The following is a 21,892-nucleotide window of genomic DNA, read 5'->3' as shown; positions in this document are numbered from 1 at the left end:
TTCTGTCCCCGCCCCCTCTGCCTCCCGCCCCGCCCTCTGCCGCGCGTCTCTCAACCTCCGTGGCTAGTCTTGACGTGGCGGGTTGCTTTCCAAAATGGCGCGGGTGCTGAAGGCTGCAGCCGCGAATGCCGTAGGTGAATACCGGGCACCGGCGACCTTCGCCATGGGACAGGGAGCGTGGGAACGGCGGTCGGGGGCGGAGGAGGCCTCGGCGTGGCCAAAGCACCTTGATCTAATGTCCTCCCCCGGGGGCGCGTTCCACAGCAGCTGCTGTCACTTAGGCAGAGGGTGCCTTCCAGAAGCGCCACCGCTTAGTAGCGGGGATTGCCTTGTGCATGAGTCCCATTTCCATCCGAGAGCTGTGCGCCTTGGGCTCTGCACCTTCCAGTATGTGGGCGGGAGAGTCGAGGGAACTTGCCCGGCAGGTCAGGCAGGGCAGGGACAGAAGTAAATAGAAGCGGATCGGTAAGTTATTTTACCGCGCACCAATAAAGAGACTGGGGAGAAACCAGAAAGGAGAGCACGTTCCGTAAAAACAACAACTACTAGTCGGCCGAACTCCAAGCGTGACCAGCTTTCTGTTGGGAACACTCAAAGGTCAGTGGTGTAAAGAATACAAAAGGAGTGGTTTTTCCACGTGCACTAATATATTTATCGCGTACACAGATAAAAGCATGTGGATTTGGAAACTTTCTTGAGTTCTCTCCCCCTTCATTTTTTTTAAAATATGTACATAGAATCAGTTATGACAGAAATAACTGTAATAATTGTCACGTTTTCTGACTCACTTTCTCCTCTTTTTATCCTTTTTTTTTTTCTCTTCCTCCTTTTATGAGAGGGCAAGTATTTCCCTTAATCTGAGATTCCCTATTAGGAAGAAGGTGCCAAGTGGTAATGCCCCAGAGTTACTCCGGGACATTCGTGATAAATCCTTCTAGCACCAGAGCCCACATTCTTAACCGTAAGGCATACCTTCCTCTTAGGTGATACACAAGATAGGAACGTAAAACTATAAATAAATGAATATTTGGGAAAAGGCATTTTTATGTCTATTTTTAGAACTGCACACTTTAATGATTGACAGTTTGGGAAAAAGTATGACTTCCAACAGGTCATATACATACTGCAAGAACTCAATACAGATAAAGGTGCATGTTTGTTTTGTACTTACATACACATCTTGGCATAAAGGAAAAATGAAGACAGTGTATTCCAAAGATTGCCTTTGATTTGTCCTATTAAGATACTTGAAGCTTAATGTCTCCACTTGTGTGTGTGTGTGTGTGGTTGAATATACATAAAGTAAAATTTACCTTTTTTTTTTTTTTTGAGACAGAGTCTCACTCTGTCGCCCAGGCTGGAGTGCAGTGGCGTTAGCTCACTGCAACCTCTGCCTCCCAGGTTCAAGCCATTCTTCCGCCTCAGCCTCCCGAGTAGCTGGGATTACAGGCACCCGGCACCACGCCCGGCTAATTTTTTGCATTTTTAGTGGAGACGAGATTTCACCATGTTGGCCAGGCTGGTTTGGAACTCCTGGCCTCAGGTGATCTGCCCACCTCGTCTTCCCAAAGTGCTGGGATTACAGGCGTGAGCCCGTCTCTACTAAAAATACAAAAATTAGCCGGGCGTGGTAGCACACGCCTGTTATCCCGGGTACTCGGGAGGCTGAGGCAGGATAATCGCTTGAACCCGGGAGGCGGAGGTTGGCGTGAGCCAAGATCGCGCCACTGCACTCCAGCCTGGGCAACCAAAGCGAAACTCCGTCTCAGAAAAAAAAAAAAAATTGCTTTTTAAGACTGAATAATATTCCATTGTGTGTGTATACCACATTTTGTTTATCCATTCGTCTCTTGATAGACATTTGGGTTATCCCCACCTTTTGGCTATTGTAATACAGCTATGAACGTGGGTGTACAAATACTTCTGAATTCCCGCTTCTTTGGGGGTGTGTATACTCATAAGTGGAATTGCTGGATTACATGGTAATTCTATGTTATGGCCCCTCTTTTAAGGAACATAAAACTTCGCCGAAAAACAAAAGCACAGAAAAATCAGAGTGAACACGTAGAAAAGTTCTGAAAATGGAAATTGAACCTGTTAGGTGGGAGACAAGAATGACCAACTTACATGACTGCATAGGTTTACTTTCATTAATCGTCTGTAAATGGGCTAACAGAAATGTAATCTGTTTACTTACTGTAATGAATAAAAAAAATTGATCATAGTTTGAAACAAGTTGAAGATATATATATGGTGCTGTGAAATTAACTGGTCAAATGTTTAAGAGAAAACTTACCAGACTAACTTGAAAGCACTTCTAATGAATGACTTTCTAAATACGTATGTTTCCTCAAACCAGATATTCAGTGAAAATTCAGACTTATGTTCGGCCAGGCGCGGTGACTCACGCCTGTAATCCCAGCACTTTGGGAGGCTGAGGAAGGTGGATCACCTGAGGTCAGGAGTTCAAGACCAGCCTGGCCAACATGGCAAAACCCATCTCTACTAAAAATACAAAAATTAACCGGGCGTGGTGGCGCGCTCCTGTAATCCCGGCTACTCCGGAGGCTGAGGCAGGAGAATTGCTTGAACCTGGGAAGCAGAGGTTGCACTGAGCCAAGATTGCGCCATTGCACTCCAGCCTGGGCTACAGAGCCAGACTCGTTTCAAAAAAACAAACAAACTTATTACGTGTTCTAAAATTAGATTATGTGAAGGTCGCACAACTTTGCAAAGATGCAAAGAAATGAATTGTACACTTCAAATGGGTGAACTTTATGGTATATAAATTTTAAGTCTGTTTAAAAACTATTAAGAGATAAAGCTGTTAAAAAACCTATTACAAGTGATTATTCACTTTTATAGTACTTTTTATACAAATTTAACATCTAATGTCTTTAAATAGTAAGTACTCTTAATGCATTTGAGTATAGATCCTTGCAGCTAAACCTTTATGTATTCAGGGACAGTGTCTAAAAAGTGTGATCTGAAATAAATGCAAAATCTGAACTGAAAGAAATGCAATGTTGTTTTTAAGTCAGGACACTAAAAGTGATTAACGAGAATTGATATTGAAAGGAAGATTGGAATGAGAGTTAACATACACATCCGATTTTGATCTTTTACTTGTATACCAGCTTCCTGACATGTGAAAATAGTTTCTTTAATCTGTATTCATCTTTACATGCGTTTTTTATTAACACTTCTGTTTTTAAATATCTTATGCATTTATTTGCACATGGTTTTACACTGTAGTATATTCATGCAAAGCAACCTTTATTGGAATAATCACAAATTAAACATTGCAGAATTCAAAATAATGCAATTCTGCTGCACTATTCTGAAATGGGAGGCAGAGAAATCTAAAACTAAAGAGCTGTGAATTCCTGCTAGTTGGAGGGCAACCTGAAATAAAAATAGCTTTAAAAAGGTAGCTTCAGTGTTGGTAATCATTTTCATAATTTATGCATTTATTAAAACATCACATTGTATACCTTAAAGATACACCGTTTCTATTAGTCATCATACCTCAAGCTGGAAAAAAGTTTCTACAAGTCAAAGGAGAAATATAATAATTAAGAGTTCAATTCACAACAAACTTTTCAGGAACACATTTTTATTAAATATAAAGCTCTGTCTCTTTTTAACTCCTTTATTCAGTGTTCTCTACCCAGTTTGCTTGGTCTACACAATTTCACCTTTGGATTTTTATTGTTGGATCTTTTTTTTTTTTTTTTTTTTTTTTGGTAAAATGTACATAACAAAACCCTTTAAAAATGTACAGTTTAGGCTGGGCACAGTAGCTCATGCCTGTGATCCCGGCACTTTGGGAGGCCGAGGTGGGCGGATCACGAGGTCAGGAGTTCGAGACCAGCCTGGCCAACATGGTGAAACCCTGTCTCTACTAAAAATACAAAAATTAGCCGGGTGCGGTGGCATGCGCCTGTAATACCAATTATTCAGGAGACTGAGGCAGGAGAATCGCTTGAACCCGGAAGGTGGAGGTTGCAGTGAGCCGAGATCACACTATTGCACTCCAGCCTGGGTGAAAGAGCAAGAGTTCGTCTCAAAATAAATAAATAATAAAGTACAGTTTAACAGTAATTATTACATTCACTGGGTTAGTGCAACTATCACATTTGTCTATTTCAAAACATTTTCACTGGCCTAGTGCTGTGACTCACATCTGTAGTCCCAGCACTTTGGGAAGCCAAGGTCGGAGGATCGCTTGAGCCCAGGAGCAACATGGGCAGCCTGGGCAACATGGTGAAACCCCATCTCTACAAAACGTACAAAAATTAGCCAGGCATGGTGGCTCATGCCTATGGTTCCAGCTACTCAGGAGGCTGAGGTGGAAGGTATTCTTTTTTTGCAATTTAGTTTCAATTGTACATTTATGTATATGTGTACTCGGTTGTAATCCACTTGGATTTCATGATAACAATGAAACTTACTAAGTTTCTAACTTGGTTTGTTGTGAATATTAGATAGTTGGTGTAAAAAAATAAATACAGTGCCAGACAGTAGGTGCACAGTAAATTCAGGCCATTCTTGTTGTTAATGACATGCAATGACTGTTTGCTAAATGAATGGAATGCAGAGTTATCTGTGGAGATCAAGAAACTATCTGATGAGGACACAGCGACAGTGAATTTTAAAAATGCTAAAAACTGACTGGAATGGTGGCTTACACCTATAATCCCAGCACTTTGGGAGACCGAGGTGGGTGGATCACCTGAGGTCAGGAGTTTGAGACCAGCCTGACCAACATGGTGAAACCCCATCTCTACTAAAAATGCAAAAATTAGGGTGGGCACAGTGGCTCACATCTCTAATCCTATCACTTTGGGAGGCCGAGGTGGGTGGATCACCTGAGGTCAGGAGTTCGAGACCAGCCTGGCCAATGAGGCGAAACCCCATCTCTACTAAAAATACAACATTAGCCGGGCATGTGGCAGGTGCCTGTAATTCCAGCTACTCGGGAGGCTGAGGCAGGAGAATCGCTTGAACCTGGGGGGCGGAGGTTGCAGTGAGCCCAGATCGCGCCACTTCACTCCATTCTGGGCGAAATAGTGAGACTCCGTCTCAAAAAAAAAAAAAAATATATATATATATATATATATATTTATATATATACACACACATACACACACACACAAATTAGCTGGGTATGGTGACAGGCACCTGTAATCCCAGCTACTTGGGAGGCTGAGGCCAGTGAATCACTTGAACCCAGGAGGCAGAGGTTGCAGTGAGCTGAGATCGCACTGTTGCACTCCAGCACTCCGGCCTGGGCAACAGAGCATTAAAGAGTACTGTATGTACTCTTTTAATGTATATTTATACCTTTAATGAACTTATTACAAAATATAAGACAAAAAATTGGGTACAGGTAGAGAAATTGCTTGCTCTTATTAAATATATGTTGTTTCATTGTGAAATGCAGAGAATAGCAAGTAATGCTTAATATGCCACTATTTAAGTGTTACCAGTAAATATGAATTGTTATGAAAAAATGTTATCCTGTGTTTTAAATCTAACTGCAGCTCAGAATTAGCTTTTTTATTCCAGTCAGTTATTTGAATGGGCAGAGCAGAGTAATTCTGATGTAAGTTTTTCCATTTATCTCCTGGTTTCATTTCAATAATTAAAAAGAACAGATATATAAATAATGAATTTTTGCATGCATTATTTGTTTAGTTTTTAAAATTCAATTTAGAAGTGCGTTAATTCTCAAAAGAAGGATATCAATGGCTGTTCAATTTTTCAGGGCTTTTTTCCAGACTTCAAGCTCCCATTCCAACAGTAAGAGCTTCTTCCACATCACAGCCCTTGGATCAAGTGACAGGTTCTGTGTGGAACCTGGGTCGACTCAACCATGTAGCCATAGCAGTGCCAGATTTGGAAAAGGCTGCAGCATTTTATAAGAATATTCTGGGGGCCCAGGTAAGTGAAGCGGTCCCTCTTCCTGAACATGGAGTATCTGTTGTTTTTGTCAACCTGGGAAATACCAAGATGGAACTGCTTCATCCATTGGGACGTGACAGTCCAATTGCAGGTTTTCTGCAGAAAAACAAGGCTGGAGGAATGCATCACATCTGCATCGAGGTATTTTAATTATTTTAATGCCTGGTATTTTAAATCTCTCTTTTAAAAAATGTCTTCTACTTTTTAAGTCTATTTATGGTCACTGTCATTAGAAACTTTTGTAAAGTTCTTTAAGGAGAATGATAATATTCATCCTCCTCAAAGGTGGATCCTTACATACATTTCTTTTCCCTTTAGAAAATTCTAACATATAATATTAATGTATTTTTTTGAAGTCTGGATTCAGTGACCACTGTAAGTGCCACCAAAGTTAGCCACAATGTAGAGTCTGCTTTAGAATTGATCATGTTTGACCTCCCATGTAACAGGAATACAGCTGTTTTCACTGTCATAAGGCAATTAGGAGAAACAAATGAAAAGACTTTAAAGCTTTCAGTGTACATGCTAAGTATTCTTTATAACTCTTTTCTCTCTTTAAAATGCTAATAACTTCTTCGTTATTACAAAGTCAATACATTTTCAATTACTGTAATTTTTAAGATCTTCTGAATTGCACCTGCCAACAATTTTTAAAGGAATGTGAAGAAATGTTAGACAAGAAAAGTCCATTAGAGAACATTTCTATAGATGTTCATGTTCAGATAACTGCCTTTTAGAATATCAGCAATGACAATTATGCATCGATTTAATTTGCTAGGACAATTCTTTTTATAGAAAGAATGACATAATTGTTAAGCCAAATTTCTTTTTCTTTTCTTTTTTTTTTTTTTTTTGAGACGGAGTCTTACTCTGTCGCCCAGGCTGAAGTGCAGTGTGGCGTGATCTCGGCTCACTGCAACCTCTGCCTCCTGGGTTCAAGTGATTCTCCTGCCTCAGCCTACCAGGTAGCTGGGATTACAGGCATGCGCCACCATGCCCGGCTAATTGTGTATTTTTAGTAGAGATGAGGTTTCACCATGTTGGTCAGGCTGGTCTCAAACTCCTGACCTCAGGTGATTCACCTACGTCAGCCTCTCAAAGTGCTGGGATTATAGGCGTGAGCCACCTTGCCTGGCCTGTTAGGCCAAATTTCTAATACAGAGGAGAGGTCATTTGATTCTAGAGTGAATTCAAGGATGTATTCAGTTCATTATTGCAAACATGTATGAGACCCTATAATGTGTATTCTGCCAAGTACTTGGGATTTAGCAGTGAATAAGACATGAGTCATGTCCATAGTGAGGAGGGTCAGAAATTTAAACACCCAAGTGCAATATACTATGATAAGTAGAATTGATATATGTGACTTTGCAGTAGCACAGATGAAGGAGATTGATTGCTCCTGGCAGATTGAGTTGCTGGGAAGGCCTCACAGAGCATAAGTTACAATGAATGTGAAGGAATTCCCTAGGTGAACAAAAGGAGAAAGTTATTTCAGGCAGAGGGAATTGCATGTGGAAAGGCATAGAGTTATCATAACAGCTAACACTTAGTGGCTGGGTGTGGTGGCTTATGCCTCGACATGGCTTGGCTGTGTCCCCACCCAAATCTCATCTTGAATTCCCACATGTTGTGGGAGGGACCAGTGGGAGGTAATTGAATCATGGGGGCAGGTCTTTCCGTGCTGTTCTTGTGATAGTGAATAAGTTTCACAAGATCTGACAGTTTTATAAGGGGGATTTTCCCTGCCCAATCTGTCTCTCTTTGCCTGCTGCCATCCATGTAAGATGTGACTTGCTCCTCCTTGCCTTCTGCCATGAGTGTGAGGCCTCCCCAGCCACGTGGAACTGTAAATCATTAAACCTGTTTCTTTTGTAAATTGCCCAGTCTCGGGTATGTCTTTATCAATAGCGTGAAAATGGACTAATACACACCTGTAATCTTAGCACTTTGGGAGGCCAAGGTGGGCAGATTGCTCGAGCCCAGGAGTTTGAGACCAGCCTGGGCCAAATGGCAAAACCGTGTCTCTACTAAAAATACAAAAAGCTAGTCAGGTGTGGTGGTATGCACCTGTAGTCCCAGCTACTTGGGAGGCTGATGTGGGAGCATCACTTGAGCCCAGGAAGTGCTGAGGTGGAGGTTGTAGTGAGCCGTGATCACACCACTGCACTCTAGCCTGAATGAAAGAGCGAGACCCTGTCTCAAAAAAAAGAACTAACATTTAGTGAGTCCTCTAGTAGTATGTCTACAAAGTAACTCAACACATACTATTTTCTTGAATTTTCATAGCTACCCTGTGAGGGCCCTATTATCCCCATTTGACAGGAAAGGAAACTGAGACAGAGTAGTTAATTTGCCCATGGTCATATCAATAGCAGGTATGGGGCTGAATCCCAGATTGGTTCTGATTCCAGGGTCTGCACTCTTACCCATGATGCCAGTTGCCTTCATTATATTAACTGAGTTTTAAATTTGCGGTGGGGAAGCTATAAGACCTTAAGCAGGGAACTAAACAAGTCCTAATATTAGCCTTTATTTTATTTTTAGGGAGTTACTTTTGGCTGCAGGTCTTTGTCAGTGGACCTGAGTGTTTGTCTAAGCCCTACCCCACCCCCCAGGATGAGAAGCAGGACCTTTGAATCCACTCCCCCCTCTCCCACACTGCACTATCAGTATTCCATCAAGAGAGCCCATGCTTTCAAAGGAGTTCAGCTATGTGATTTAGTTCAGTTAAGTAAGGAATAGTGGAAGTTCAGTAATGGCAGATTCAAAAGCAGAGATTATAAGGGGGACATGCAAATGTATTGGATATAAAATGAAGGTAGGTAAGAGGAGAAGGTGTGAACAGTGGTTAGTTAGGTGCTATTTTAGTATAATACCCCCATCATCATTCTCTGCCCTCCACAAAAAAATTAAGTGGCTTAACAAGATTTTATTTTTCTGTTTTCAGTCTAATATTAGCTATCCCAGGCTGATGGGCAGCTCTGCTGTCCATGACACATGACTTACAAGGTTGCTCCAGGCATCACCATTTGCCAGCCAGAGGGAAGGGAAGGGAAGGTGGAGTGGGAATACCTGGCAAGTGGCTTTAAGGAGATGCTCTAGGATCACTTCTGTCCTTATCCCATTGGCCCAAGCTTAGTTACATGACACACTTCTCTGCAAGGGAGGCTGGGGAATGTAGTCTCTAGCTAGGCAGTTATGTGCCCTGCTGAAGCTTGGGGGTTGCTGTAATTAAAAGGAGGAAAAGGAGAAAGGTACTGGAGGCCATCAATGGATGCCACGCTTGGTGATTTTTAAAAAGTGGTGTGTCACCTGGGCATGGTGGCTCATGCTTATTACAGCACTTTGGGAGGCCGAGGTGGGCAGATTGCCTGAGCTCAGGAGTTTGAGACCAGCCTGGGCAACACGGTGAAACCCCATCTCTACTAAAATACAAAAATTAGCTGGACGTGGCGGCGCACACCTGTAATTCCAGCTACTTGGGAGGCTGAGGCAGGAGAATCGTTTGAACCTGGGAGGCAGAGGTTGCAGTGAGCCAAGATCATGCCACTTCACTCCAGCCTGGGCAACAGAGCAAGACTCCATCTCAGGAAAAAAAAAAAAAATGTTGAACCACTCATCAGAGAATTGGCTTTCCCCTCTGTAATCACAGGGCTACTTTCTGTCCTTTTTCACCAGGATCTTATAAAACCTCTGACTTAGCATATATCTGTTGGTGCATGCTCCATGGTTTTTGTTGACTCACTTGACGAAATGTTCCTTTCTCACATGTGGATTACGATCTCAATAGTTAATTAGCATTTTTCTGTCGAGGTTGAGTTGGTTTCTACTTTTTCTTGTGAGGTTTACTCATATTTCTTGTGTGTCTTTGCCTCTCACTAGAGGAATTTTAGAGGGCATCTTGTCCCATCTCTTCTCTTGCTCAAGTATGGACTGAATCACCCACTGTTTTCTGGCACAGCTTGTGTTTGTGCTCCTAACTGCTGCCTGCGATGGCAAGAGGGGGGTCACCTTCCCTGCCTTCTGCGTGCCTCTGCTTGAGGAGACAAAGCTGGCCGTGCTTTCTCTGGAGAACTTAGCCAGACAGCACAGTGTGTCACAGTGAAGACTTTAAGGGCCACCAGAAATACTTACTCAAATTTGTATTGAGTTTGTAAAAATATTTAAATGCTTCCGTGTTGGTTGGTAAACAGCTGCTGCTCTGTAACACCTGAGTAACATTCCTTTTCCAGAAGGACCCTTTTCTGGGACCCTTCAGACACCCTTCTCCCTCTACAATTTTTTTCCTTCAGAGAGAGGGTCTCACTGTGTCACCCATGCTGGAGTGCAGTGGCACAATCATTACGCACTGCAACCTGGAACTCCTGAGCTCAAGCGACCCTCCTACCTCAGCCTCCTGAGTAGCTACGGCTACAGGCAGCACACCATCATGCCCAGCTAATTTTTTTTTTTTTAAGAGACAAATTCTTGCTATATTGCCCAGGCTGGTCTCAAACTCTTGGCTCAAGCAATCCTTCTACCTCAGCCCTTCCAAAGCACTGGGATTACAGGCATGAACCACCATGCTCAGCCGCACAATTCTATCTGATTAGTATCTTTGTATTTTCCTGATTGTTAAGTATTTTTGGTATCACTCTGTCCTTCACTGTACAAGATGCTGGGGATATGTGGCTGAACAAGCAGAAAGTTCCTGTCTACCCAGAGCTTGCCTGCTTGCTTCATTTATTCACACATGCTCCTCATTTTCCAGAGAGGATTAAAGGTGACTGACTAAAACACAGCCTACAAAGTACAAAAGGATAAACAGAAGTAATAGTGCTAGTTGCAACAAAGAGGAAATATAAGGGATGATTAGCATACCTTACTAGTTTAGCCAAATACAGTCCCACACCGCATAACAATGTTTCAGTCAGTGATGAGTCCACATGAGGTCCCATAAGGTTATACACTGTATTTTTATTGTACTTTGTCTGTGTTGAAATGTGTTTAGACACCATTGTGTTACACTTGCCTACAGTTTTCAGTAACATGCTGTACAGGTTTGTAGCCAAGGAGGAATAGACTGTACCCTGTAGCCTAGGTGTGTAGTAGGCGCCACCATCCAGGTGTGGTGATGTTCGCACAACAATGAAATTGCCTAGTGATGCATTTCTCAGGACTCGTACCCATCAAGTGACACATGACTGTATTTCTTTCTACTTACCAAAAACAAAAAAGGAAATAAACAGTATTGAGTACCTATGACTCCTCCCCATTCCTTCCCTTCCTGAAGACTTCAGGTAGGACAGAGCAGAAGAGTCATTTTTGTTGATGGGGAGAACCAGACTGGCCTAAAGCAGGGTGTTGGGATCCTGGCAAGGTGAGGAGGGCATCCATGAGTGAGAGCTGCCTGCCCCGGGGAAGCCAGAGACTGAGTGCCCATGCATGGGGAGTTCCAGTGCAAGGTGTCCGAGTCTGAGCAGGGTTTGTGCGTTTGTGCCCAAGGGAGCATCTTGACTTGCAGTGTCAGAGTGAGGAGGGCATCAGCATGGGAGGCCAGCTTAGAACTAAATGCTTATGTCCCCTCAAAATTCATATGTCGAAATCATAACCCCAAAGTGATGGTGTTAGGAGGTGGGGCCTTAGGGAGATGATTCCTGAGGCCTCATTCATGAGCAGTAGGCCTATCCCTCATGAATGGGATTAGTGTCCTTATAAAAGAGGCCTCAGAGACACCCGTTGCCCCTTCCGCTACGGGAGGACAGTGAGAAGGTGCTGTCTGTGAACCACCAATCCCCCACCAGATGTTGAATCTGCCAGCACTTAGATCTTGGACTTCCCAGGCTCTCAAACTGACAAATTTCTGTTTTTTCTGAGCCACCTAGTTTAGGTATTTTGTTCTAACAGCCCGAATGGACTGAGACACAGCTCAGAGCAGGGAGCTGGAGCCCAAGGATGTTGAGAAGAGCGTCCACCTGAGGGGCAGCGGCAGCAAGGAGTGGGAGAGCCAGAGCAGGGTAGGGGCACCGACACTGTGGGGAGGGCACGCCCAGCATGGAGGGCCAGGGCTGGTCCTGTGGGGAGTGCATCGTTGCAGGGGAAAATGGTGACTAATGTGGGGAGTTGAAGCCCAGGTGGGATAAGCTGGGTGTCCTCGCAGGGAGTGGCCTGGTATGGGAGCAGGGCCTGAGAAGGGTGAGGCAGATGTTCACATGGGGTAGGGGGCAGGTATGGGGAGTCAGAGCCACACAGGGTGAGGAGGATGTGTATCCACTGGGACGCTTCCGGGCGGGATGTTGAATCCCACAAAAGGCAAGGAGGACTGCAGCACAGGGAGTGGCCCAGCTCACATGGGGTAACAGGCCTCTGTGCAGGGGTGGTGTGGCCTGGAATTGTGAGTGGGAGCTCAGATGGGATGAAGAGGGCAGCCCCACGGTTGGAGCACATGGAGGGTGATGAGTGCAGTGCTGAGGCTGAGGGAGGGGCTGCAGAATCATAGGGACCGGTGACAGAGAAGGGGCTGGTTAGATGAGTAGGTAGTAAGGATCATGGGAGCCTGGCTTCCCAGTGGCAGACAGAGATGTTGGATTTGATTTCAAGGTAATCTTGAAATTACTGTTGCAGGCTGCTGGGGAAAAGCACATGAGAAAAATATTAATAGTATTTAAAAACTAAGACAAAAGGTAGAGAAATGCAGCAATTATAGCAGTTTTATTTTCTGAGTGATTAGACAATAGATGACTCATTTTCTTGTTTGTGCTTTTATATGTTTTGCAGATCTTTTTTGACAGCATATATTCCTTAGGAAAGAAAAAATTTATAACTTCAAAGTAACAGGCTAGTGAGGTAACTCATTTCCTACATACTGGGTAATGTTTGTTCTTCAATCAAGAAAGGAAAATATTCTCCTTTTTAAAAAATTTTATTCTCATTTTGGCTTTTCACAATAAACTAGGGAATTAAAAAAATATTTTACTATCCACTGTGAAAATTTCAGCAGAGACAAGCATTTGATGGATACTCCACATAGCCCCCACTAGACTATATAGTCATTGTGGAAGCTTAGGTAACATGTGCTCTTCTGAAATAAATCCAAGAAGACTGGAACCATCTGAACCCTATGTAAAGTGAGACAGTGTTAGGCTTGCATAATTCACTCAGCTTTTAGCTTTTGAGGAGATACAGTTGGAACAAATACAACAAATACTTAATCCAGACTTTTCACTTTAACTTTCATGGATTTATACCAATTTGAGGATTGAAGTCATTCATTATATCAGCACCATTACAACTGTATATAAAATTAAAGCTTATGTTTGTTAAATCTGTCCAAATGTCATGTATAGTTAAGAGGGGTACATTATTACTTTTTCATAAAATTTGGTCATTGAGGATTACATACCTTAAGGTTAGAGTTATTTAGCCCAATTACTTGGCTTGAAATAAACAAGATTGTATTGCCATTTTCAGATGGGGAAGCTGAGGACCAAAGAGGTTATGAGATGTACCTGAAGATTGTGAATTCTGGCCGGGTGCAGTGGCTCACGCCTGTAATCCCAGCACTTTGGGAGGCCGAGGCAGGATCACCTGAGGTCAGGAGTTGGAGACCAGCTTGGCCAACATGGTGAAACCTATCTCTACTAAAAATATAAAAATTAGCCATGGTGGCACGCGCCTGTAATCCCAGTTACTCGGGAGGCCGAGGCAGGAGAATTCCTTGAGCCTGGGAGGCGGAGGTTGCAGTGAACTGAGATCGCACCACTGCATTCTAGCCTGGTAACAGAGCGAGACTCCATCTCAAAAAAAAAAAAAAAAAGTTTTGAATTCTGATTGTGACAATCCAAACATTTTTTATTCGGGTTATTGTCACTCTTAATTTGCAGGTGAAGGGGCAGAATCAAGATAAACTCTCAGATACAGATAAATACCAAAAAAAAGAAAGAAAGAAAGAAAAAGGAAATAGCTGGTAAGAAGTTGAAGTGAAAAGTAAAGGGCCGGGCATGGTGGCTCACGCCTGTAATCCCAGCACTTTTGGGAGGCCGAGGCGGGTGGATCACGAGGTCAGGAGATCGAGACCATCCTGGCTAACACGGTGAAACCCTGTCTCTACTAAAAATACAAAAAAATTAGCCAGGCGTGGTGGCGGGCACCTACTACTTGGGAGGCTGAGGCAGGAGAACGGCATGAACCCGGGAGGCAGAGCTTGCAGTGAGCTGAGATTGCACCACTGCACTCCAGCCTGGGCCACAGAGCAAGACTCCATCTCAAAAAAAAGAAAAGTAAATAGCCCCGATTTTCACTAGTGGTATGCAAAGTCTTCCAGAACTATATGGTACACTCTGTAATTGTTTGAAGGACTATAAAAGCAGTTTTAAAAAACCATAACCCCCCCCTTTTTTAAATTAATACTTTAAGTTCTGGGATACATGTGCAGAACGTGCAGGTTTGTTACATAAGGTACACATGTGCCATAGTGGTTTGCTGCACCCATTAACCCGTCGTCTACATTAGATATTTCTCTTACTGTTATCCCCCCCTTTCCCCCACCCCCCAACAGGCCCCGGTATATGACTCCCCACCCTGTGTCCATGTGTTCTCATTCTTCAACTCCCACTTATGAGTGAGAACATGCAGTGTTTGAAAACCTCCCTTTTTTTAAAAGATGGGTTATTACTGACTGTGTTACTTTCATCCTTACTTAGAGGGACTGATTTAATTTCCCAAATCAAATTGCTCTGCATTTCTTACAACTATTGCATCTACTTTCAATTCAGAAAATTAAGACATTTTAATTTTATTCTTTTTATTACTGCCAAACAAAGCATTAGGAGTACTCTTAAAAGAATCATAAAATGTATAGCAACACTAACAGAAGGATAAATATGGTAAAAGAGCTTTAAAATTGAAGTTAGTGATAGAAATAGTAACAGAAGTAGAAGTAGATGCTAGTGCAATGTCATTTAGACATTTATTAGTTTTTTGAGACAGGGTCTCACTCTGTTACCCAGGCTGGAGTGCAGTGGCACCATCATAGCTCACTTCAGCCTCAACCTGGGCTCAAGCAGTCCTCTCATCTCAGCCTCCTGAGTAGCTAAGACTACAGGTGTGTGCCACCACACCTGACTGATTGATTGATTATAGAGATGGGGCTTCACTATGTTTCCCAGGCTGGTGTCAAACTCCTGGGTTCAAGCCATCCTCCCACCTTGGCCCCACCTAAGTGCTGGGATTATAGGCATGAACCACTGTGCCCAGCATGAAACACTGTGCCCAGGCTTGAAGTAATTCATGATTGAGGGATATTGAAGAAGGAGTATACTAAAACATTGGGTTGCAATGTCAAAATTATAGATACTTGTACTTGGATAGAATGTTCCATAAATGAAAATATTCATAATCACATGTAGCATAGGAGTTATCAAAAGGGCACTATGGAAAAAGTCATGATTATATCATGAAATTGTTCAAACATATGAGAAGTAGAAAAAAAATCATGTCAGTACTTTCATCACCCAGGTTCAACAGTTTTCAAGCTCTTGCTACACGTCATCTTTTTTTCTTTTTTCCTTAAATTATTTTAAATGAACAACATGTCATTTTACCCTTACTCAGTTTGGGTCTCTAAGAAATACAAAAATAACCACGGTGACATCATCTTTATTTTCTGGCACTTCAGTCAAAATTAAAGGGAAATCTTTTGGCACCATCTATACACAGCTCATAAATTAAATTTCCCAGATTGATTTACAAATGTCTTTTTATAGTTGATTTGCTCTAATCAGGATAAAAACAAGATCCACTCATTATAAACAGTGGTTAATCTCATCAGATGCTTTAAAAAAATTATGAACATCTTATAATAGTTTGATACATTTATCACAATTAGTGAACCAATACCAATTCATTGTTATTAGCTAAAGTCTGTACTTTATTCTGATTCCTTTAGTTCTTACCCAGTGTCCCTTTTCTATTCCAGGATCCCATCTAGGATTTCACATCACATTTTTTTTTTTTAATTTTATTTTAAGTTCCAGGATACAAGTGTAGGACATGCAGGTTTGCTACATAGGTAAACGTATGCCATGGTGGTTTGCTGCACCTGACAATGCATTACCTAGATATTAAGCCTTGTATGCATTAGCTATTTATCCTGATGCTCTCCCTTCCCCCACTCCTCCACCCCTAGCACATCACATTTAGTCATCGTATCTGCTGAGGCTCCTCTTGCATGTGGCAGTTTCTCAAACTTTCCTTGTTTTTTTGTTTTGTTTTGTTTTCTAACCTTTTTCTAGGATCTCCTTTCCTTGTTTCTGATGACCTTAACACTTTTGAAGATTACTGTTCAGTTATTTTGTAAACTGTCCCTCAGTTGAGATTTGTGTGATATTTTTCTTATTAGACTCATGTTATTGATTTTGGGAAGACCATAGAGGTAAAGTGTCATTTTCATCACATCATATCAAGGATTCATACTATCAACATGACTTACTACTGTTGATATTAACCTTGATCTCCCAGGTGAGGAGGTGTTGTCAGGTTTCTCCACTGGAAAGCTGTTCTTTTTTTCTCCTCCATACTATCCTCTTTTGGAAGGAAGTCATTATGCAAGGCCCACACTTAAGGAATAGAGAGTTATATCAGTATGGACTTGTGGATATTTATTTTATGACTTGCATTACAATCTAATACTACTTTTTTTCCCCTCAGATTGTTCCAGCTTTGGCCATTAGGAGCTCTTTCAGTTGATTCTTATGTCCCTTTGACATACCCCGATCATTTTTGGTTTTGTGTTTTGTGTTTGTTTTTTAAGCACTTCCTTTCTTTTTCTGGCACTGTAAGATACTCCAAATTCATCTTCTATATGAGATGCTCCAAATTCATCTTCTTTACTCTTTGCCCTAGCCATATAATTAGACATTTCATCTAGGAGCCCTGGTTCCTACTACTGGAGAATGGTATTAGAAGCCAAGATCTAGGTTCTAAGTGTGCTTATTGCTACTGGGTGTGTCATTGGTTCTTGCCCTACTGAGCCAGGACAACAGGGAGATATATATGTGTGTATACTGTATATATACACATATCTATACACATTTCTGTATATAACTATATTATAGAATTCATGAAATGTCATAAACTCCTCAGAGCATACTGACGTCTCCAGCTCTAATCCATTACCACATAGACCACACTAGCCTTTATCTTCTCATTCCAACAGTGAGAAACTTAGCTCCCACTATCAGCCATCCATCTACTTCGTTGTTCAATTTCGGTATGATGTGTGGTAGTTATATTTGTCTTCTAGGGCTGCTATAATAAATGATCACAAACTTAGTGGCTTAAAACAGAAATTATTCTTTTCACAGTTCTAGAAACTAGAATTCCAAAATCAAGAGGTAAAAAATATGGAAGAAAAAGAAAACAGAATAGAGCATAAGACAGATGTAGGACATGGTCAAAAGTTCTAGCAGAATATAGTTGGAGTCCCAGAAAAGGAAGAGAGAGAAAATAGAACAGAAGCAGTAATTGAAAAAATAGTTGACAAGGACACTACCAATCTGATGTAAAACATCACTCTATGGTTTCAAGAAAGTCAGCAACCCCAAGTAGGGCAAACAGAAAACTACACCAGGCCGGGCAACAGTGGCTCACGCCTGTAATCCCAGCATTGTGGGAGGCCAAGTCGGGCAGATCACTTGAGTTCAGGAGTTCGAGACCAGCCTGGCCAACATGGTGAAACCCAGTCTCTACTAAAAATACAAAAATTAGCCAGGCATGGTGGCACATGCCTATAATCCTAGCTACTCAGGAGGCTGAGGCAGGAGAATCGCTTGAACCCAGGAGGCAGAGGCTGCAGTAAGCCAAGATCATGCCATTGCACTCCAGCCTAGGTGACAGAGTGAGACTCTGTCTCAAAAAAAAAAAAAAAAAAAAGGCAGGTGCAGTGGCTCACGCCTGTAATCCCAGCACTTTGGGAGTCAGAGGCGGGCACATCACAAGGTCAAGAGATCGAGACCATCCTGGCCAACATGGTGAAACCCCTTCTCTACTAAAAATATAAAAATTAGCTGGGCATGGTGGCGTGTGCCTGTAGTCCCAGCTACTCTGGAGGCTGAGGCAGGAGAATTGCTTGAACCCTGGAGGCAGGGGTTGCAGTGAGCTGAGATCGCACTACTACACTCCAGCCTGGGTGACAGAGTGAGACTCTGTCTCAAAAGAAAGAAAACCACACCTAAGCACACCATAGTCAAACTGAAAATCAAAGATGACAAGAAAATCTTAAAAGCAATCAAAGTAAAAAAGACATATTATAGAATGACATGTAATGACACTTTTTAGTTGCTGACAGAAAAAACCTGCCAATTTAGAAATCTGATTCCGGCCAAGTTGGTGTAAAAGAGATCAGTTTATCCTCCCTGAAACAAACAAGCAACCTAGACAAAATACATGACATAATGGATTTCTGGCATTGGACATCAGGCAGCACAGGAATTGATTTCTGAGAGAGGGTAAACAAACAAGATGAGCCCTACAATTACCCAGTTTACTGGCTGTAGAGAGTTTCCAGACTGCAGTGCAGGAAGGGGGAATCCACGTGGAACTTAGTGGTCTCCCTGAGTTGCGGAGATAGGAGTTGGAAGTCTGAGGAGGCCATGGTGCTAGAGTTCACAGCTCTCTCCTGGAAAGGAGAGCTGCACAGAGAGTGAACTCTAAAGATCTGTAGTACCTTTCATGTCTTCATCGGAGCTTCGAGTATTGCACGCATGTTAGGAAGCTAGAATAGAACCCCTTGAAAGGATTAGAGGGAATAATCCACACACAGAGGTGGGGATAGTTTTTTCTTACTAGTCATAGTAATTTCCGTAACATTGGGAAGAGTACTCAGAAGGGCTTTGGCTTGGTAGTGAGGAAAATTAGTCCTAGACTAAAAGCTGCTCCAATCCCACCTAACGCAGCAGAAGAAAAGCTTAATAATATTGATATGAATTTAAAAATAAGATAAAATTGACAATGTCTGACATCAGTGAGGACCAATTTTCCTCACTAAGTGGGTCGAGCCGTTCCTGCCACGAGCTTCTAGTGCATGTTCTATTCTGAAAAAGATGAGAATTAACCAGCTACAGTGCAAGATGTCATGAAATGAGCTGTGTTCAGAATCTAGGCACGTGTGACTTTGACATATCTATGAGGTTTAAAAAAGAAATATCAGGAATACAAGTAGAATATGTGCCATATGAAGAAATCATAGCTTATTTATGTAACATTTAGTATCCTCATTAGCTGTTTGACTGGTTTTAGAATTCAGCATATAATCCTTGGCTCTTTGGAAATAAAATTGTATAAATACTAATATTTATTAGATCTGAATGGTAGGTACATGGGTGTTAAACTAGTCTCTGTGCTTTTGTGTGTTTTTTTTAATTAAACTAGTGATTTTAATTAAACTAGTGATTTATGACTGCCTAGGAATGTGGCCATTCATATCATACCTTTTCATCCATTTCTTAGGTTCCCAGTCTAAGTGGGTGACTTTCCAAGATAGAGGCAGATCATTTCTCCGTCAAGTATAGAGAGACACATCTGCTCCTCCTAGAGTGTCCATAAGTATGAAGAAAATAGAAATAACTTAGAAGAGGCTGCAAAAACATTAAAGTTTGAAATTTTTTTGGGTGGGGAATAACATTTTGATGGCAATTTAATAGTGATTTTCATGTGTGTCTTGATAATGTCAAAGGTAATAACCAGGTGTTTTGGCAGGGCAAGTTTTGGGGATCAGGGAAACACTCATATTTGCTAAGTACCTATTATGCCATAAACTGTACTGAAAGCTTTTTATCTGTTACCTCATTTTAATCTGTAGTCAATTTATGTGGTAGACCTCATTTGCCTGTTATAGATGAGGACCCAGGGTTCTCAGGAAAAAGCAATGTCTTCAATCTCACTAATAGTACTGCCAGAATAAACTATTATAAAGTATATCATACATGATTTAGATTATAAGAAGAAACATTTACTAATGGTGAAAATTCTGAGCATTGTGGTTGCTTACCTAGAAAAATTTAGTAACTTCTCTTACTTCTCTGAAAATTTTAAGCTTATTTTTTATGATGATTTAAGAATGGTCCTGCCCACAGGCAGAGGAGATAGACTGCATGAGCTCTCAAAGTTTTTTCTAAGTCTTATGATACTATAAGTTGGTATTTTTATGATCTCAAATGTGTTCAATTTATTTCCCTTTCTTAAGGTGGATAATATTAATGCAGCTGTGATGGATTTGAAAAAAAAGAAGATCCGCAGTCTAAGTGAAGAGGTCAAAATAGGAGCACATGGAAAACCAGTGATTTTTCTCCATCCTAAAGACTGTGGTGGAGTCCTTGTGGAACTGGAGCAAGCTTGATTTATATTTGCAAGCAACTAAATTAATTGACCTGAAAAAGCCTATCAAATACTATCAAAATGTACTATGACATTGAGTCCTTCACTGCTTCCATCATGTAAAAGTTCACAGTTAAAGACTGAATTACAGAAAGATTAAAATATATACATATATAAATACATAAATATGTATATTATTTAGATTAACAAACATATTTGTTAATTTGAATTTGAAGAAAATCTTGATTACTAATTACTTAGGGAACATTATTAAAATCATATAGAAATAAATTATTCCTCTTCTACAATGGGGTAATTGAATGTAATGTGTTAGCTGTGTACAAGGGTATGTGTGTGATGGATGGATACACAAAGGAGTTATGAAAGTATGACAATTTTGTGGCTAATATTTGGGGCAAAAGTTTCTAAGAATGTTTTGGAATACTTTTTTAGAGCAAGCTGTGTAAGATTAGGGAATTTTAATCTCAGAAGTTTTGCTCTTCAAAAACAACTCGTGGTCACAGTTTCCTCAGGGTCCAGGTGTTTTGGGTGCTAGGGCTAGATGTATAGGAAGTTTTGTGGAAAACCTGGTGCGTCATCTAGTAGGCATGTAGATGTCTGAATTATTTTTTTAAATCAGTAGTAATTTGTAGAGTTAGGTATCACGTAGATGCTAGAACACCACAACAGGTCCTAGGGGAATATACAAAATGAATAGAAATCCACTGCCAAGATGCTTATGGTTCATTTGGGGAGAGTACTGCTTGAAATAAATGTAAACACTTACAAAACAACATCTGAATGAATTAAAAAGGAAAGGAAAGAGAGAATAGATCTCAGAGGATAGTCAGACTCAAATATGTTAGAAACAAGTTTCAGATGAATTTCAAGGATTACAGATGGATGCATTGAATGCATAGTGGATGGAAAAGTGGCTAACAAGTTCATGGATGAGTGGATGTTGAGTAAATGAGTAGATATGTAGACATTGAACTTGTTATGGAAGACAAGTATAATATCCAATTATACTTTTCATTTAAAAGTTAAAGTAAAAATTACAACATTGATGTGGTTCTCAGTGTATGTAGAGGAAGTATTTTAGACAATTACATCACAGAGTGGGGGCAGTAAAAGGGACTTAAATGGTGGTTAAATATCCACATTCCACTTCAAGTGGTAGATGTTGATAGTAGTAGACTGCAGTAAACTTCATGTGTGTATTGCAGTCTGTAACCACTGAAAAACTATATGAAGAGATACACTCAAAAATGTAGATAAATCAAAATGGACTACTAAAGAATGCCCAAATAACCCACTTGAAGACAGGTAAGAGGAAACAGGAAAAAAGCAAAACAATAAAATGACTGACCTATAACCTCACATATCAGTAATTACATTCAATGTAAATGGTCTAAACACACCAAGATTGTGAGAGTGAATTTAAAAACCTGACCCAACCAAATGCTAACTACAAGAAACTCAAAATATCAGTAAATTAACAATGATTTATCAGTAAATCTCAATATCAATAAACTAAGAGTAAAAGGATAGAAAAGATACACCTTGCAAA

General features: G+C 41.1%; 1 protein-coding gene across 3 annotated transcripts, besides 2 other annotated features; it reads left to right on the top strand.

The window, feature by feature from the left end:
• Positions 4 to 862: an enhancer, noted in NCBI's record as "H3K27ac hESC enhancer chr2:71356582-71357440 (GRCh37/hg19 assembly coordinates)". NCBI's record gives its function as "activates a minimal SCP1, AML or CMV promoter by ChIP-STARR-seq in naive H9 embryonic stem cells {active_cell/tissue: H9 hESC(naive)}" and the evidence as "EXISTENCE:reporter gene assay evidence [ECO:0000049][PMID:30033119]".
• On the top strand, positions 85 to 20,627 carry MCEE (methylmalonyl-CoA epimerase). 3 transcript variants are annotated; one of them, XM_005264613.3, is made up of 3 exons: positions 85 to 134; positions 5,771 to 5,946; positions 20,192 to 20,627. In XM_005264613.3, the coding sequence occupies exons 1-3, from the start codon at positions 95 to 97 to the stop codon at positions 20,342 to 20,344; spliced, it is 369 nt and encodes a 122-aa protein (XP_005264670.1). In that variant the 5' UTR covers positions 85 to 94; the 3' UTR covers positions 20,345 to 20,627. The 3 variants fall into 3 exon arrangements, with proteins under 3 accessions (XP_005264670.1, NP_115990.3, XP_047301995.1); NM_032601.4 differs by having other exon boundaries at positions 5,771 to 6,108; XM_047446039.1 differs by lacking the exon at positions 20,192 to 20,627 and adding an exon at positions 19,456 to 19,551 and having other exon boundaries at positions 5,771 to 6,108.
• Positions 11,655 to 12,155: an enhancer, noted in NCBI's record as "H3K27ac hESC enhancer chr2:71345289-71345789 (GRCh37/hg19 assembly coordinates)". NCBI's record gives its function as "activates a minimal SCP1, AML or CMV promoter by ChIP-STARR-seq in naive H9 embryonic stem cells {active_cell/tissue: H9 hESC(naive)}" and the evidence as "EXISTENCE:reporter gene assay evidence [ECO:0000049][PMID:30033119]".

This window comes from Homo sapiens, chromosome 2 (assembly GCF_000001405.40).
Source record: "Homo sapiens chromosome 2, GRCh38.p14 Primary Assembly".
In the NCBI taxonomy this organism is placed as follows: Eukaryota; Metazoa; Chordata; class Mammalia; order Primates; family Hominidae; genus Homo; species Homo sapiens.
Note: the sequence above shows the minus strand (reverse complement) of the source record. Positions and strands in the feature narration are given on the sequence as shown.